We start from the raw sequence: 18,337 nt of genomic DNA, 5'->3' as shown, positions 1-18,337 counted from the left end.
CAGGGGAAGGCCTGCAGTCCTCGGGGAAGACGAACAGTTCTGTCTAAAGGCTGACTTTATTTTCACACTCCAAGCTCCCACTCCTATCACTGAGGTGGTTTGGGGGTGGGGCAATGGCCTAGGCACATGCCGTGCCCACCTGCAGGAGGGGAGTGGGTCCCCAGACACCCTTGTGGTTGCTCCCCGACCGAGCAGGGAGAAGGAGTGCGAAGGAGGCTGGCGGGAGGGCTCGGAAGTTGGCCGAATGGAGGAGTTTCCACATGCAGGCCACGCCGGCCCGAGTGTTCCTCTGCCTCTGGCCACTGATGGCCAGATCCATGGGCTTCCGTCCTGGCGCAAGCATATCAGCCATCAGAGGGCACCCACGAAGGCCTTCGCTCCTGACATCGGCCTTTTATATAACGTGCTGCAGCCATAATAGAATTCTCCTTAAATTTCAAACAGAAATTTTCATCTGAAGTGTTTTGGGAAGGGTATTATTACGGAGCTTCTAATTCCCACTGCCGCTAAGTACGTATTAATAACAAGGAGAGGTATAGAAACTGCAGCTCCAGCCAACAGCACTTGACATTTAGTAGATGAATTAACGTTTATAGTGAAATGGGTTTTTAGCTAGTAATATTAGAGGTCTTTGTTCCCAGCTTTTCTTTCGCGGTGCCTTCGTTCTCGCCGTGTCTCTGTCTCCTCTGCTCCCTTTCCTCCCTCTTGGCGTCGGGCGTCTTTGTGTCATGCATTTGCGTGCTCTCCCTGCCTCTTGTTTTTCCCGGCACGAGCCCAGCTCACATGCTCTCTGGAGCAGTCCCCCAGCATTGGCGCTGAGCTCTGGTAAGAGAGGCAGGGGACAGGGAGGTGAGTGACAGGCTGCACTGATCCCCCGTCCATCCCTGTCTGCAGCCAGGCTCCCGGGAAGGCGCTGGGCATCGGAATTGGGCTGCGGCTCTGCTACAGGTCCTCATGGCTGGCCAGGCTGCTCTGCTCACCTCTCTGAGCTGAAACTTGCCTTCTCTCCAACGGGGAATTACCTACCACTTATAATTGTGAATCTATGAAGTGAAGTGATGCAGCCTGACTTCTACAGGCTCTGGCACTTGGAGATGATTCTTAAATGCAGTTTTCTCCCAGTCTGTCCTCTCCGGGATCAGGACTCAGGAGCTGGCCCAGGGTATGAGCACTGGACGGGGAGCAGGAACCCTGGTTTGGACCCAGCCCGGTGACCCACTCACCTCGGGACCCTAAGAGAGGTGCTTTTCTGCCTTGGCCCTCAGTGGCCCATCTGTGAAATGAACTGGGTTAAGGACACATGTAGCGAGTCCTTTTCAGGTCTTCATTAGAGAGTCGCGACTGGGCAGCCACAGAGGACGGAGGATGGGAAGGAGAGGAAAGACTCAAAGGCCAGCAAGGAGAGAGCAGGCATCCAGCACTGGGGCCAAGATTTTACTTCCATCCTTCTCCAGGTTCTTACCCAGCCTCTGCCCCCACCAAATCTTTCCCAAGGGCAGGTCGTGCCAGCCCTGTAGCCTGTAGGGAGGAGAAAGGCCCCAGGCCACCCAGTTGAAACTGTAGTTGAGGCAGGAGGGTAGAGGGTGAGGGGAAGGCAGGCAGACGCTGCTAGTCCAGCTGTGAGGCCCACCAGGGAAGAGGTAGGACGGACAGACACGCTGTGCCCCCCAGGGGCCTCCTCTTCCCCTGGTTGTTGGGACCATCTCCTCTGTGTGAGCTGTGAGAAGCAACTGTGTCATCTCATGGTACTCTGGCCCCTCATTCCTCAGGGCAGATACAGAGACCCCAGTGGGGCACCCTAAGACCCTGGGGGGTGGGTAGGAGATGGGTCCACTTGATAGAAGGAATGTAGGTTCCTTGCAGCCAGGCCAGCCCCCCACTCACCTCCCCTTCTCTACCACGGACGGAGGTGTGAGTCAGAAGTAAATTCTGGCTGTATTGAGACCCTGAGATTTGAGGTTGTCTGTTATAGCACCTAGAATACCCTAAGGAATACGGGGAGAGGGAACCCCAGGGGGCGAAAGTTGACATGGATTAATTGTGAAAATCCATTTCTTATCAAACAGGATTATTTTGGGTACAAGTGACAGAAACCCCACTTGAAATGGCTTAAGGATAAAATGGAATGCATTAAAGTCCAAGGAGATAAGTCTAGCTTCAGGCATGGCTGGATCCAGATGTTCAGACACAGTGACAATCACCCCCACCTGACTCTCCCTCTCCCTCTCCCTCTCCTTCTCCCTCTCTCTCTCTCCCTCTTTCTCTCTCTCCCTGACATATCCCCACACTTCTGCTTTTCTCTGTGTTGGCTTCATTTGCTACAAGGTGGCAGAGATGGCACAAGCAGCTCCAAACTTAGCAGCTCATTCAGCCTTGAGGAAGGAGGCAGCACATTTCTCAGTCATTCCAGCTAAGGGTCTGGAGTATACTTCCTGTGACTGACTCACTTCGGCTTCATGTCTGTCTCTGAGGCCATCTACGGTCATTTGGTGGTCAGGCTCTCGTTGGCCAGGCCTGGGTCATGTGCCCACCTTGGAGCTGGGGATGGGGCAGCCTTGGCCAACCCACATGGCCCAGGCATAGTTAAGGGGAGGGTGGCTGGTCAGACGAAAACACATCCATCACCCACCATGCCTGGCCCATTATTGTGCTTTCCCATCATGCTCTGCATTTGTGGGGGGCCATTAGGGTGGTTAAGTAAGGGACCTGGTCAAGGAGAATGTGGCCCTCATCCCTGTCCCCTGTCCTGTCCCTGTCCCCTGTCCTGTCCCTGTCCCGTGTGTGTGTGTGTGGCTTGGGGAACAGATAGACAAACTTTCATTGTCAGATCTTACGGAAGGAACTTCCTTTCTTCCAGCTGCATCACATCCGGTGCAGTCTCTGGGAGGGGCGGAGGAGTCTCCTTTATTGAATGTGTTTTTCTGTCCTGCAGAGAGGCCACATCAGTGGTGTCAGGGTTGGATTCCCATCCTTGCCCTGCTTCTTACAGCACATGCATCCCTGGCCCGGCCACTTCGCCTCACTCCCTTTGCAGGCCCTTGAGAAGACCAAGCTGGGTCTGAGCTCTGGCTGCCCCGGGCCCTGGGAGAGGCTCAGGGCCTGTCGGAGACTCTGCCTTCCCCAGCCTCAGATGGTCCCCTGTCGGGGAGATGGGGAACTGCTTTCTTTTTTTTAAACCAATGCTTAAAATGGTGGTGAAATAGACATAGAATTGACCATCTCAGCAGTTTTTCAGTAGCATCAAGTACATTCACATTGTTGTGTCCCATGAATGGTACATCCATCTAGAATACCCTAAGGAATACGGGGAGAGGGAACCCCAGGGGGCGAAAGTTGACATGGATTAATTGTGAAAATCCATTTCTTATCAAACAGGATTATTTTGGGTACAAGTGACAGAAACCCCACTTGAAATGGCTTAAGGATAAAATGGAATGCATTAAAGTCCAAGGAGATAAGTCTAGCTTCAGGCATGGCTGGATCCAGGTGTTCAGACACAGTGACAATCACCCCCACCTGACTCTCCCTCTCCCTCTCTCTCTCTCCCTCTTTCTCTCTCTCCCTGACATATCCCCACACTTCTGCTTTTCTCTGTGTTGGCTTCATTTGCTACAAGGAGTTCTCCTTTCGTCCTCCCAAACAGAAACTCTGTCCCCATTAAATAACACCTCCCCATTCCCCACTCCCCCAGCCCCTGGAAGTCTCCATTCTGGTTTCTGTCTATGATTTTGACCACTTTGGGTATCTTGTATAAATGGAGTCTTACAGTATTTATCCTTTTGTGTCTGGCTTATTTCACCTAGCATAGTGTTTTCAAGGTTCACCCACGTTGTAGAACACACCAGAATCTCCTTCCTTTTTAAGGCGGAACCATATTCCACTGTACATATACACCATGTCTTATTTACTCATTCATCTGTCCAGGGACTCTGGCGCTGCTTCCGCTGTCTTTGGGCCTTTCGGCTATTGTGAAAAGCGCGGCTGTGTGCACGGGTGTGCAAATATCTGTTGGAGATGCTGCCTCTCATTTTCTGGGTGTATACCCAGAAGCGGAAGTGCTGGGACCAATGATCATGCTATTTTTAGTTTTTTGAGGAACTGCCATTCTGTGGGAACAGTTTTTAAAAGCCCTTGGTTCCATCAGCAAGGGTTGATAAATCAGGGCAAAAAAAAAAGATGAAGGAAAAAAGAAGAGGCCCTACTTTTGGGGGCTGAGATGGCAGCGGTGACAGGGAAAAGGATGTATTTTGACTAGCAAGCCAAGCAAGCGTCATCCAGGTGCTGGGCAGGGTGGCGGAGGGAGGGGCCGGGAGGAGCGCAGAGCCTCGCGCCCGGATGCCCGGCCAGCTAGCAGCGCGGGCAGCGGCTTTATGTTGATGGCAAATTGTCACTTTGGCGGAATTCAGGAACGCTACTTATGTCATTAGGCGGCAATCTATAATTAACGCACTCAAGGCTGTGTGAAGGGTAGGATTCTTCCAGGGACAGCTAGAGCGATTCCACCTGCATCTTCTGGGAGCGGGGGTAAGTGGGGGTGTTCACTTCAGCCAGCAGCTGACACCTAATTAGTGGCAATTGTATTGTTCTGATGCCTCCTCCACCAGGAAGCCTCAGGACTCCCAGCTGGAAGGGAGGCTGTCTCAGAGGTGGAGACCAGCCAGAACAAAGAGCTGGAGAAGGAGGTCTGAGCCAGGAGAGCCTGGGAACCATGGGGAGTCCAGCTCATCTACAGAGTCATTTTTATTCCTGGCCATGGAGCCCTTGAATGCCAGGGTCAGGGATGGCTCAGTTCAGCCGGGCCCCAAAAGAGTGGACCAGACTTCTCCAGGGGTTAAGCAACTTTTAAAATGTCGACAGGGAGGGGAAAACATTGTGGAGCTTCCTGACCACGGGGCTGCCTGCAGCCCGGTTTCCCAAGCCATGGGCGGGCTTGGCGTCTGACTGTCCCCTCTGGAATGTCTGGGCTGCAGCCGGGGCTTGCTCTAAATGAGAAACAGGCGGGAGGGGCTTAGCGGGCCTGGCAGGTCGTGGCCAGCTCCTCGTGCGGTCTGGGCAGGGCTGCTTGGCACGGGCCGCCGAGGAGGACGCACTGGCTGTGCAGGCGGCCCTCCCACCAGCATGGAAGGCTTGGGGGGCCCTGGGCCAGCCTGTTCAGGCCAGCGCCTGCACGGAGGGAGGGCAGCCATCTCAGGGACTGCGGCAGAGCACCGCCCTGGAGGGCAGATGGAGCTGGTTCTGCTTCTGGCCCGGCCCCTTCTCCTTCTGCAACCTTGGGAACACGGTTCACAGAGCCTCCGTTTGCTCACATTGGAAATGGAAGCAACAACGCCTCCCAAGGTGGTGAGGTGACCGTGTCTCACGGAACAGAGGTGGTACGAGTGGGTGACACTTCATAGACAGCTGATACCTGCAAAGATCTAGGAGGCTGGCCCAATATCCTGGTTTTATAGCTGTGGGAACTGAGGTTCAGAGAAGTTTGGGACTTTACCCATGGTCACACAGCAAGATATAGGCAAAGAGATTCTTCTCTAATCCACGGATTCCCCAAATCAGCACTTTTTGCTAGAGCCCAGCCCACAAGAGTGTTTTCTGGCTCCCTCCCAGCCTGGCTCTGTCCTCTCTTCCTCTTCCCAGCCCAGGCTTGGTCATGGTAATCTACACTTGCCTAGAGCTTCCTGGTTTCCAGCGTGCTTCCCTGTACATTTTCTAATGCCAGGGGATGGAGAGTCTCAGAAGTCCCCAGGAGCTTCCAGATCAGCGTTGGCCCTGAAATCTGGGGTGGCTCAGATCAAACCCCCCTACCCACCGCTCTCCCACCTCCCAAGTGGTGAAATCTAGTTTCAGACTTTCTGCTAGCGGATGTCCGTTACACATTTTGCAAAAGGCCCAGGAAATGGCATTTCTCCTTCTCAGTAATCCTCCCCGTCAGCCCAGGCTGTGTTCTTAGTTCGCTTTACAGATGAAGAGCCCAAAGGGTTCAGTGACCCACCAAAGGTCCCCCAGGTGAAGTGGGGAAGCTGGGATTCAAGCCAGAGCTGCCTGTGGGTGGCGCTGCTGCCTCCGCACAATCAAGGCTGTGGAAGGTGGAGAAAACGCCTGCGGGCCTCCATGTCCGACCCCTCCCAGGGGAAGAGAGCATGAGGACTTGGGTTTAGGTTGCTTATCCGTGTGCGACCTTGGGGATGCGACTCAATCACTTTGAACCTGTTTCTCCATCAGAGGTTGGGGTAATGATACACAGAATACATAGATGTGAAGACAGGAAGGGGGCCGCGGAGGGCACCCCGTGTAAACCCTGAGACGTCTGGTGTCTGGGGAGGTGTGCATGGCCCTGGGCGGGCGGGGCTTCAGGAGGGGTCTCCCAGGCCAGATTCTAGGGGAGCTCGGAAGCTTAGGACAGAAGAGGATTTTATCCTCTTGGTGGCACGAGACTGAGGGTTTTAAGTGGGAGGTGACGTGATCTCTTGGTGCTTTGGAAAGATCAGCCTGTTAGCCAAGTTGGAGACGGTGGCCTGGAGGGTCAATATGGGCGCAGAAAGAGCAGGGAGGGGGAGGGGCAGAGGGAGGGAGGGAGGAGGAGGCAGCAAGGGGCGCCTTTGTCCTCCGCTTCCCCTCTTCCCTTCTCCCTCTCCCTTCCTTCTCTTCCTCCCTCCTTTTCCTCCCCCTCCCCTTTCTTTCCCCTTTCCTTAAAAGATAGAGTCCAGAGTGTCTAAGTCAGTACCCTATTGGAAGTTTGGGGTTCACTTCCATAAAAGAGATGGCGCTGGTTGTGACTAGGGAGGAGGCATCCTCATGGTTAGGACTGGGGCCGAGCAGCTCCTCACCTTCCTGCCATTTCCTCTTCCTGCTTCCCAGAAGCGCCAGTGCCCCAGCCCCTGAAACGTGTCCACTGGACCCCGGGTTGGGCCAGCAGATGACCTTTCAGAGGTCCCCGAGGTCGGCTTATCACAGGACAGTGGAAACTGTCCTTAGGAGTCCCTCACTGTAATGCACGACACCCATACCTCCAATGACTCACCTGCCTCCCAAGCCCACAGGGCTCCTGGCAGCCAGCTGGGCCCCACCTCTCCGTGTGTGGTCCTGTGGGGTCCCAATCCTCCAAGATGATGAAGGTCCCCAAGAAGGGCTGTAGCAGAGATGTGTCAGCCTGCAGGGGTGACCAATTCCCAACTTTCTTTCCTAAAAGAAGGGAAGTGGGGATGCAGATCCCTGATCGTGACGCTGCTCCAGGGACCAATTCTGCTCTAAGCTATAAAAATATCCCAAAGCCCTCTTTCAAGGCGGCATTTGAAATAACATCTTAGGCCACTGCAAGAGTTGCCTTTGTGCACTTGTGCTTGTGCTTGGTAATGAGCACGCCTAGAGTGTGGGTGATGTCTTGGGAGGCAGGAGGGGACCCTCCAGATCAGAGTTGTCCCTGACATTTGGGTGGCCCAGAACAAACTGCATTACCCACCATTCTCTTACCTTCTCAAGTGGTGGGATCCAAGGAGAATGAAAACAGGACTGGAAAAGACATCTGAGAAAACACCAGTTGGAAGAGAGAGGCACATGTTGGAGCAACACCAAGTGGCCCTTTTGTCTTGGTGTGAAGCGGTGGTTTACAGACTGATTGCTTGTATGTGAGCTTCATGCCTTCGGTTGACCTTAGTGCTAGAATTCCATGTATGTTTAAGATGGTGCTCATAAGTGTGTGCTTGTGTGGGCACCTGCACGCCTATGCATATGTGTGTGTGTGTGTATGTGTGTGGTGTGTACGTGTGTGTAGAAGTTAGGGGTGCTTCCTTATTTCCAAAATGCCCTGAAAACAGCACTTGATGAATGGGTTCAGCCAGACTCAGACTTTGGGCCTGGGACGGCCACTGGCCTAAGTCACGGGTGCTGCACCGGCATCCACAGCATACAGACGATGAGCTTACATCAGGAGCAGGGATAGCAGAAGGGGTTAAGAAGCTTCCCCCAGGGTCATTGCCCCTCTGTGTCCAGTGGAAGATCGATAGGCCTTTAAAGTGATTTATAAAAATGGAAGGGGGAGCAATGCCCTTTCCTCAATCAACTCCGGCGAGTCAAATCAGCATCCTCCACTTGTATTGATCATCCCACTTCGTCTAAACGCACATTAGCAGGGGCAGGTCATAAAAACTAATCCTCCTCTTCCGTCAAATGGAAGGCCATCTTCCCAGCTTCCCTGGAGCCGGGTGATGTCATGAGACTTCTTGTTGGGAGAGAGAGATTTGTATTAAATCTGATGAGGCTGTTTGCATAAAAGCTAATTAGGATGGCCGAGTGGAGAGAGGAGCTTTGGTGTCCCAGACACACCTGTAAAGACCCTCTGGGTTAGGCAACGCCCCACAGGAAGCCTTTTTTCCAAGTCTTGACCTACAGCTGACCTAACTGGCCAATTTCTGAGTTTTTAAAGAACAGTGAGCTAGTGTGATCAAGATGACGATGACAACAACAACAACAACAACAACAACAACAACAACAACAACATCTTTCTTCCTACCTGTTTCCCCAGCTTTCCTCTCCTATCTCTCTGATATCTTCCCTCACATGGTCTGCCTGTCATTGTCCTTCCACAGTCATGGTACATTTGAAGCTGAGGGGGCCCTGGGGCTGGGAGGGCTTGGGTTTGCATCCCAGCTGATATGTTTGGCTCTGTGTCCCCACCCAAATCTCATCTTGAATTGTACTCCCATAATTCTCACGTGTTGTGGGAGGGACCAGTGGGAGATAATTTGAATCATGGGGGTGGTTTCCCCCATACTGTTCTTGTGGTAGAGAATAAGTCTCACGAGATCTGATGGTTTTATCAGGGGTTTCCGCTTTTGCATCTTTCCTCATTTTCTCTTGCCACCACCTTGTAAGAAGTGCCTTTCAGCTTCCGCCATGATTCTGAGGCCTCCCAGCCATGTGGAACTGTAAGTCCAATTAAACCTCTTTTTCTTCCCAGTCTTGGGTATGTCTTTATCAGCAGCGTGAAAATGGACTAACACACCAGCTCTGACGCTTATTTTGTGTGTGATCTTAGACAAGATGCTTTATCTCTCTGAGCCTCAATTTCCTCCTGTGTAAAACACATCCAGTAATACCCACCTGGCAGGGTTAGTGTGAGCATATGTAATACAGTGCAGGCTTTCTCAAGCTGCGTCACACATGACAATTTTTGCCCTATCTGTGCACTTGGTCTTACTTAATAATTTTATTTAAATCAATTCATACTTTCCTACATACATTTGTTTAAGATAGAGACATTATACTATTATTATAAATGGAAAATACAATACCATTTATTATACCATTTATTATAAATACAATACCATTTAGAAATGTTCAAAAATACTTGGGTGTAAATCTAGCAAAACTGGAACAAAATGTTTATACTGAAAGCTACAAAATGTGGATTAAAAAAAATCACAGGAGGTCTAAATAAATGGAGGGACATGCTGTGGTCATATGTTGGGAGACTCAATAAAAATATAAAGATATACATTTTCCCCATATTGATAAAGAGGTTTCATACAACCATTATCAACATTACATCAAGATTTTATATTCTAAAGTTTACATGGAAAAACAAAGGAACTAGAATAACTAAAATAATTTTGAAAAAAAGAATAAAGTAAGAGGAATCATTTTACCTGACTTCAAGACTCCTTTTGGAGCTACTGTAATCAAAAGCAATGTAGATCTATGAGCTCAAAGATGCTTGTGCACAAACCTCTTAACGGCTCACTACAGGTCATTCAACAAACGTTTACTGAGCAAGTGCTATGTCCCTTGCTTGGGCCTTGTACCTGTGCTACTCAAAGGAATACAACACTCTCCCTGCCCTTAGGGGAGAGACAAGCTGAATGCAGAAAGTGTGTGTGTTTGTGTATCGGTATGCCTGCATGTGTGCATGTGTGTGTGTGTGTCTGTGCATGTGCACCTGCGTGTAACCGTGGGAGAAAGGGCAGTATGGGGTCAGAGCATTCCAAAGAGCCTTGTACTATGATGAGGACCCCGATACCTTTCTTCTTTCCCCTCTTTTTCATTCCCCGTCTTTTGTTTTCCTCTTGCTTCCTATGTCCTATCTTTAGGAATATTGCAATTAGGAGGAAGTCCTATGCCACGCAATAGTCTTTGCAACTTTCTAGTCCTGCGGTGGAGACCTTTCAAAAATGCAATTTAAGACATACCCCAATATCTAAAACTGGGAAAAGTGCAGCAGCTCAGTGGAGTCCTGCCTCCCCTCCAGACCCCCGGCAATTGCAAGTCAGCCTCGTTGGAAGCAGATGCTGCAATGGAGTTTGACAGGCAGAGTATTTATTAGTGATCAATACCTATGGGTGGGCAGGGGAGGAAGGAGGATTGGATGGAGGCTGACACTTTAGCCAGCCCTGTGGGGAATGTATGGGACCCAGTAGTGCTGTCTGTATCAGGCCTGAATGGCCAGTCCCATGTGCTCCTGTCTCAGTGGGTGGCCAGGTGGGGGTGCTCTGGGAAGAGTGTGCTCTTGGGTGGCGCAGGTCTTTGCAGCTGAGGCAGTCTCCCATGGGGATGACAGCTGGAGGCTGGCTGTTGGTAGCTGGGCCAACAAATCCTTTGGTTAAGGGAGATCCAGGTGGAGCATCTCTGTTTTCAGCTCAGTGTCCACTCTTGTGCTGCCCCAGGCCACTGTATCTACACCTGGGGAGTGGTTCCTTCAGGATTCTGGTCACTGTGTTCCTGGAGGGAACTTAGAAGAGCAAGTTAACTGTACGAGCTACAGCTCTGGTGTGGTTGCTGCTCTTAGTGCTGCAGCTGGTGCTCATGGCTGAGCTCCTCACCACCTGCTGAAGACCCTCCCCTCTCAGCTGGAACCGCTGCTGGTCTCAGTGGGTTACCTGGTGGCCTGAGTCCCTGGTCAGTGTGACTTTCTTGGGCTGGGGTTGTTGCACTTATCCATTTACCATATGACTGGGAAAGAGAGCCCTGGAGGAGCCGGTGGACCCCATGCACAGCCTCTGTCTCTCCTGCTGCAGATGCACCATGGGGGGTGGCTGGGGCGGGGTGCTCTCTGGGGGGAATTAACACATGCCACAGGGACCATCCCACTTTGTGCCTCTCCCACATGCCCACCTGCGTGCCGTGACCCCAAACCTTCTTGTCCCCAATGTCTCTTTATAAGCCCTGTCCACCACTGTTCCTGAGTCCATACATATTCTAACCTCGAGCCCCTTCTCCTTCCACACACAGTGGTACCACCCGAAGCTCTGCCCGATAGGAGGATTGGTAAGGGAGGCCACACACACACAGCCACTGGTGTGAGCTGAGGACAGAGGTCGGCACAGCTGTGATGCCTGAAAGAGGGGCCAGGCTACCTGCGGTGCAGCTTGCTTGTGGCATCTGATCCTACTCATAATCCATCCTAGAGGCACCAGGTCTGCTTCGTGATGCCTGCTGCAGGCCTGCATGACTCAGGTCATGGTGGGTCCCACAGAAGCCGGCTTGTGATGGGCACTTCTGGATACATGGTCACTTATTAGCGTGTGTGTATTAACATGTCTCTATCAAAGTCCAGTGGCATGGTAGGAGTTATTTTTCAAAAGATGCCCAGTTATCTATTGCGATGGCACATGCCTGCTTTAGAACCCCCGGGGCCTCCCGCACTGTGATTTTTTTCTCTGGGGCTTCCTGCAAGCTCCACACAGCTCCTTTCCCCACCACCAATATTTCTAATAGCATAGCATCTTCTGGGTAATACGGCCCTACTGGCAGGGTTGATTGTACTACAGCCTGGTTCCTGCGGAGGTCGGCAGCAGCTTGTGTCATCTGATATATTCCTGGGTCTGGAATATCTGCCCTTAGAACACAAACAGGCCTGTCAGGCACAGTGCTTCCTTCTTGGTGGTGGGATACCCTATGCAATACTTTGGATTTTACTTTGTTCTCTGATGCCCCTGGCCACTGGGTCCCTAACATTTTTTGGGATATTGGGGTGCATGTGTTTTACCAAGGCCTCCCTTTTGCTGGCTGCTTCTTATTCATCTGACCCAATAAGCAATATATCATCGCTGTAAGAGATAAATACGACATTCTGTGCAATGCCCCAACCACCCAGGTCTCTTCGGGTAGCATTATGACAGAGGCAATAGAGTTACAATAGCTCTGGGGCCAAACTGTGAATGTAGACTGTTGCCCACTCCCCGCTGGCTACTTATGATAATTGTGTCTACCTGGCTTCTGGTGGTGAGGGAGTCACCACCTGGCCTCTGCTTCTGGGAAACCTATTATCCCTCTTGCTGTTGGGGAGTCCAGTTCTGCAGGGACCTTTTCCATCGTCAGCCAGAGGAGGGACACTGCTGCTGTACATTTCAGGATGCAGGTGTGCCTCTCGCCAGCCCATTCCTGAGATCTTAGTAAATGACGTGTCCTCTGGGTCCTTCCCTGGAGTGTAATTATCTGGTGACCTTCTGGTGTGACATAATGTGTCCATTCCAGTGTGCCCAGTTCCCCCAGCCTTCTTTTTGTTTTTTTTTTTTTGAGACAGAATTTTGCTCTGTTGCCCAGGCTGGAGTGCAGTGGCGAGATCTTGATCTCGACTCACTGCAGTCTCCCCCTCCCAGGTTCAAGTGATTATCTTGCCTCAGCCTCCGGAGTAGCTGGGATTACAGGCGCTTGCCACCACACCTGGCTAGTATTTGTATTTTTAGTAGAGATGAGACTTTATCATATTGGCCAGGCTTGTCTCGAACTCCTGACCTCAAGTGATCGGTCCACCTCAAGCCTCCCAAAGTGTTGGGTTTACATGCATGAGCCACTGCACCTGGCTCCTTGAGCCTTTTAGTGCCTTTCTCAGTATCTCCCAGGAGCTGGCAGCTGGGCCAAGTCCTTCCTTGGACAGTGTCATAGTGAACCGCCTGCCGCCACATTCCATCAGGTGCTTGGTTGGAGGTTCTGCAGAGGAAACTTAGCGCTTCCTAGAGTGCAGTTTGGAAATTGCTTGGGGGCAGAGGTTGGGGGAATCTCCCGAGCTCTGGAGTCAGATAGGCTAAGACAGGTTGCATAGGTACAGATGAACACATCTGGAGTCAGATGTCTTCAGATACTGGTTCTGCTATGGTCAGGCTGTGTGGCCTTGAGAAGATAATTAGCCTCTCTGCATTTTATTTCTTTGATGTCTTATGAGAGTTGAATTTGGTGTTTCTAGGATGTTTACTGTAGTTCCTGAGAGTAAGTTCCCAATAGGTGGCTGCTGTCCTTCTTGGTCACACATGCTCCTGCAGGGCTGCAAGACCTTGAGGAAGGCTTGGGTCAAGGTCCTTCCTTTCTCCCTCACCAGTCCTGTGATGTTGAACAACTCACAGTCTCCCTGAGCCCCAGTGTTTCATCCCTAAAGCAGCAAATGCAATAGTAGCACTCATTCTACCTTGAGGCTCCTGGGAGACAGTTGATGAGAGAGGGTTTAGTAAATGCCCAGGTGTGGTCCCTGCAGGAGAGAGTGTTGCTCTTCCTTCACTTCTGTGGCCTGTAGACGTGTTGACCCGAAGCCGAGCAGCCTTCCCAATCCATTACCCTCTCAAATGGACTTGAAATTTGCTCCAAAGTCAACCAGGAGGGAAGACTAATTATGACAATGTAGGAATTTCCAGAACAAGGTGCCAACCATACATTTCTGGCCAGAACAACCTGTGGACTGTATTGGACACTTGGGACAGATCTGGGTCTGGTTGAGACCACATTCTTAAGGAGACAAAGTGTCTTGTATGACCCATCTTAAACACCAGAATCCTGACTCTAAGGGCCAGGTGGTCTTGCTGAAGATCGGAAGGGGGCTCCTTGGCCCAGGGCTTGGAGGAAGATGGTGGAAAGACTTGCTGAGCATAGGTGGACTCACACCCTGGGACAGAGTCTGCAGTCACCATCACACATCTTTTCATATACTTGAAGCACTGGAGGGAGAACAGGGGCCTCTGTTCTTGGTCTCTTATCTCCCTTGTGGAGGACAGGAAGGAGCCTTCTATTGTATGCCTGGGGGAACAGCCCTGGCCTGTCTGGATCTGTTGCCATGTGTCTCCTGCTCTGTCTCCTACACCCTCAGGTATCACCCTCTCACTCCAAGGCTTGTCTTGGGAAGGCTTTGCTTTGTTAACATGTCCTCACAAAGTTGCCTTTTTAAGGGCCCCAGAGGAGACCCTGCTTCCCTTGATGGCTTCTGGGCTGGAGGTGATCGTGTGACCCTGCAGCTCTCTCTCTCTCCCTCTGACCCATGTGTCATCCCCTGGCCTCTGACATAAGGACTGTGCTATGGTTTCTACAGGATCACTGCTGTTCTTAGATAGTAAGTGATGTAAGAGCCATTGAACCCATCTTGTCATGACGATATATTTCCTGCTCAGAGTGCAACCTGGAAACAAATCCCCCATTGTGCAGTGCTGGGACACTTCCTGTGCAACATGAAAACAAATCCCCCAGTGTGTAGTACTAGGGCATTTCCTGTGCGATCTGCTTAGTGGTCCCCCTGGAAGCAGGACCATGTGGACACCACTGCTTAACCACTGATGTCTGGTGTGGTGATCAGCATATGGTAATCATCCATGCATGTCTCCCCCAAACTGTCTTATTCCCTTCAGAGTGTTTAAGACCTCATACTTTCCCATTTAGAACAGTCACATGGCTGTAAGTACCTCTCAGCACAGCACTTCCTCTGTAGATGGCAGATACAGATGATGCCTCTTTGTAGGTGATTAAGGCCAACACCAGACCACAGTGCCCAGAGGGTGAGAGGGGATGAGCTGCTCTTGGAGGTTCCCTCAGGGACCTGGTTTTGTGAATTGATCAGCATTTGAGGACACCCAGGGATCCACAGGGGTCCACTCTTTCCTCAGAGAGTTTAAAAGCGTTAGCAACTGGGGCCAATCCGCACTCTCATAACAGCAGAGATGGGAAGGCTATCAGGAACTTTGCGGTTTTAAAAGCTGTTTGGCCTTCTCAAAAGAGAGTTGGATTAAACTATGGTTCTTAACCAGGGCTGCATATTAGAATCATCTGGGGAAAATTGCTAATGCACAGATGTCCAGGCTCTCTCCATGGGGGTCTGATTCAGTAGGCCTGGGTGGGGGCTGCCTATGATTTGCATGTTTTTTCTGGTGTGGGTGAGGGTTGATCCCTTCAGTAAGCCTGTGTGGTAGGCACAGCCTGGAATAGGATCACTATTTTCAAGGTGAGTAGATAGAAGACCAGAGAGGTAAGTGATCAGACTCAGGCCTGAGCTGATTTTTTCTGCCGCTTTGTTCTTCGCTTTGTTCTTGTCTCATCAAACCCACCACTTTGTCTAGAATGAAATGGATACACTGCAAAGTGAAGGGAAAGGAAACTGCCCCAGCAGAGAGAGGGCCCTGTGATGGGTTTTTTCTGGGGGGCCGGACTCTTGTGGGGGCACCTGTCCTCCCGCTGCTAGGCTTGGGCCATGAAGGCACACTTCGGGGGAGCGCCAAGACGCTGATTCTCAAATGGGAAAGGCGAGGCCACGGGGACTCCTCATCCAGTGGGCACAGCCTCGTTAGGGTCCTTGCCTTGGCAAAAGACATCTGCTCGATCCGAAGATTTACTCAATTAATTCCTAAAAAGAGGGGAGAAGTTTCCTCCAGTGCACCCATTGAGTTATCTTCCTAACAATGTGGAAATGTTTTATTCAGGGTGTTTGTTTGTGTAACGACAAAACATCGGCACAGATGTTTTGCTGTCTGTTGGCCATTGTCCTCCCCTGGACAGCTATGGAAGCCCCTGTCCCATCCCTGTCCAGCAGGCGAGCACAGACCTGGAGGGGCCCTGGGGTGCAGGTGGCTTCAGCTCTCTGACACATTATTTAGTGACATTGAGTTAAGAGACCAAATGTGCTGATAAGAAGGGAAGCTTCCCATCCCAGGATGGTGTGTGCCTTCCGTGGGAATGACTGTGTGGGAGGCACTGCTCCTGCCCAATATGGAACATTCGACCACGGAGGTTCCCTTCACTTCACAGATCACTGTGTGGGGGAGACGTTGATGGGAACATGTTAATCCAGCCCCTGTCTGGTTCCTTTCCACCAAAGCTTCAATATGCATCTGATCTCAGAATATTGGATTTTTCTTTGAGGAAAGAAATAAATGACTTATCTGGGGAATCAGTCCAGAGTTCCCTCCATGCATTGCACATTCTCTATATTGGGCTAAAATAAGGTTTGCTGATTCTCATGGAAATCTCTAAAGCCTGGGTGTCATCATATGAGTATTTTATGTGCCAGGTAAGCAGGTTGCATCCCCAGGAAAAAAAGAAAGAAGGCAAGGAAGAAAGATTAGCGATTGTATCCAAGGAGAAGGAGAACAGATTCAAATACTTTAAGTGCCTATAGCTTCTTGATTCAGTGGCCGAGAAATATGATTCACTCTGAAAAGCAGTCGTTTTGGTTTATATTTGGAATTATCTTGAAGTCTGACAGATATGTTCTTTTTGTGGTTGTTGCTGCGGCATTTCTTTTCCACCTTTCCTAAGCCTGACAAAATGATGCTTCATAAAATCCTAGTGGGTTTTGCTTCTTTCCTGTGTAGCTTGTGCAAGACCGATGGAGAACAAGTTACCCTGCCGGCTGCAAATATTTATTGTGTGCCTGTCTGGTTTGGGCCAAATGGGTACCTCAAATCAGAATCTTGTGCATGTTTTGGTGGTTCTGAGGAGTGAAAAGCAAGGAGAACACATAAGGATCTTGTCAATACGACTTTGCCAGGCTGATAGGAGGAAAAAGAGGCAAATTTTCTGACCCTAAAGCCAATGGCAAATGTTCAGGACTTGTCAAAAATACAAAGTGAGAATCAAAATGAGTTAGAGGCATTGATTTTAGCCTATGTCAAATGCACAAAATGTTAGATGGTGGATATGTATTCCCAAACTTTACTCTGAATGCAGTGCTGTAAAGGTGGAAGGTCTTTTGACATATTTAGTCAATTCCCTTGTTCCACTGCTGAGAAAACTGAGACTCTGACAGGTGAAGTGACCTACCCACTGTCATGGAGTTGAGGTGGGATTGAGAAGGTCCTGCCCCATCAACAATTTCGGCCGATTGCATTTTCCAGTGATGGAGGCAGCCATGTCTCCCATTCCATGAACTCCTCTGCAATGTGACCTTGCCACCCTTCCATCAAGAGGTGGATCTATTTCTCCACCTCCTTGAATCTGGGATGATGCTGTGGCTGCTTTGACCAATAGACTATGGCTGAAGTGACACAGTGCCAGGTCCAGGCATGGCTCTTCATGGCCTGGCAGTTTTGCTTCTGACTTCTTGGTTTGCTTTCCCTCCAAATCCAGCCACCATATTGCGAGAAATCCAAGCCACATGGGGAAGCCATGCATAGACAGTCCCGTTAACAGTCAGCATTGACTTTCACCATCTGAGTGCACCATCTTAGAGGCCAGCCTATTGAGCTTTCAGATGACCTCAGCTGATTCAGGAGAGAATCACCCAGCTGTGCTCAATCAATCCTCTCAGCTGTGAGAGTTAATAAAAAAAATTGTTGGTTTATTAAGCCACTAAGTTTTAGGGTTACTTGATATGCAGTAACATTTAACTGGAACATTACTCAATACTAACATGAAAACTCATGCTTGATAATCACTCTGCACTTTTACCAACTAATCTCCCATTTATTCTAAGATTCAGTGTTTTCCTAATAGAAGGTCATGACTCATTAGTAGCTCATAAGACCAATTTTGTTAAGTGCCAAAAGTTAAATCAAAGAGAATTAAATGCATCAGAGTACATTATACATAATAAAGGTAATAATTGTTTTGTGAAATTTTTGGTTCAATTATGTGTGTGTGTACTGGATTTGGTATCTATTTTTTATTGTGGATTATAGAAAAAAATGTTAAGAAAATGCTGATCTCATTTGGCCCTTCCTACAGCTTTGATAAGCAAGCAGGGGTGGTGTCTTAGTCCATTTGGGCTGCTATGAAAGAATTCCACAGACTGGGTGGCTTATAAACAATAGAATTTTATTTCTCATGGTTCTGGGGACTGGGAAATCCAAGATCAAGGTGGCAGCAGATTCAGTGTCTGGAGAGAGTCTGCTTCCTGGTTCATAGAAGTCACCTTCTCATTGTGTCCTCACATGGTGGAAGTGGTGAGAGAGCTCTCTCGGGTGTGTTTTATAAAAGCATTAATCCCATTCATAAGAACTCTGCCCTCATGACCTAATCATCTCTGAAACTCTCCACTTACTAATACTATCACCTTAGGGGAATGGGATTTCAACATATGAATTTTGGGGGGACATAAACATTCAGTCCATTGCAGAAGGTTTCATTACCTCCTTTCCATCAATGAGGAAACTGAAAT

At 50.0% G+C, this 18,337-nt stretch overlaps 1 long non-coding RNA gene across 1 annotated transcript in view, besides 2 other annotated features; it reads left to right on the top strand.

Moving 5' to 3' along the window:
- Positions 1-18,337, top strand: part of LOC107984696 (uncharacterized) — a 76,716-nt gene that overhangs the window by 35,039 nt on the left and 23,340 nt on the right. The window lies entirely within an intron of this gene.
- Positions 2,182-2,682: an enhancer, noted in NCBI's record as "H3K27ac hESC enhancer chr14:99504757-99505257 (GRCh37/hg19 assembly coordinates)". NCBI's record gives its function as "activates a minimal SCP1, AML or CMV promoter by ChIP-STARR-seq in naive H9 embryonic stem cells {active_cell/tissue: H9 hESC(naive)}" and the evidence as "EXISTENCE:reporter gene assay evidence [ECO:0000049][PMID:30033119]".
- Positions 10,512-11,012: an enhancer, noted in NCBI's record as "H3K4me1 hESC enhancer chr14:99496427-99496927 (GRCh37/hg19 assembly coordinates)". NCBI's record gives its function as "activates a minimal SCP1, AML or CMV promoter by ChIP-STARR-seq in naive H9 embryonic stem cells {active_cell/tissue: H9 hESC(naive)}" and the evidence as "EXISTENCE:reporter gene assay evidence [ECO:0000049][PMID:30033119]".

The sequence above is a fragment of the Homo sapiens genome, chromosome 14 (assembly GCF_000001405.40).
Source record: "Homo sapiens chromosome 14, GRCh38.p14 Primary Assembly".
Lineage (NCBI taxonomy): Eukaryota > Metazoa > Chordata > Mammalia > Primates > Hominidae > Homo > Homo sapiens.
This window is presented reverse-complemented; position numbering and strand designations above follow the sequence as displayed.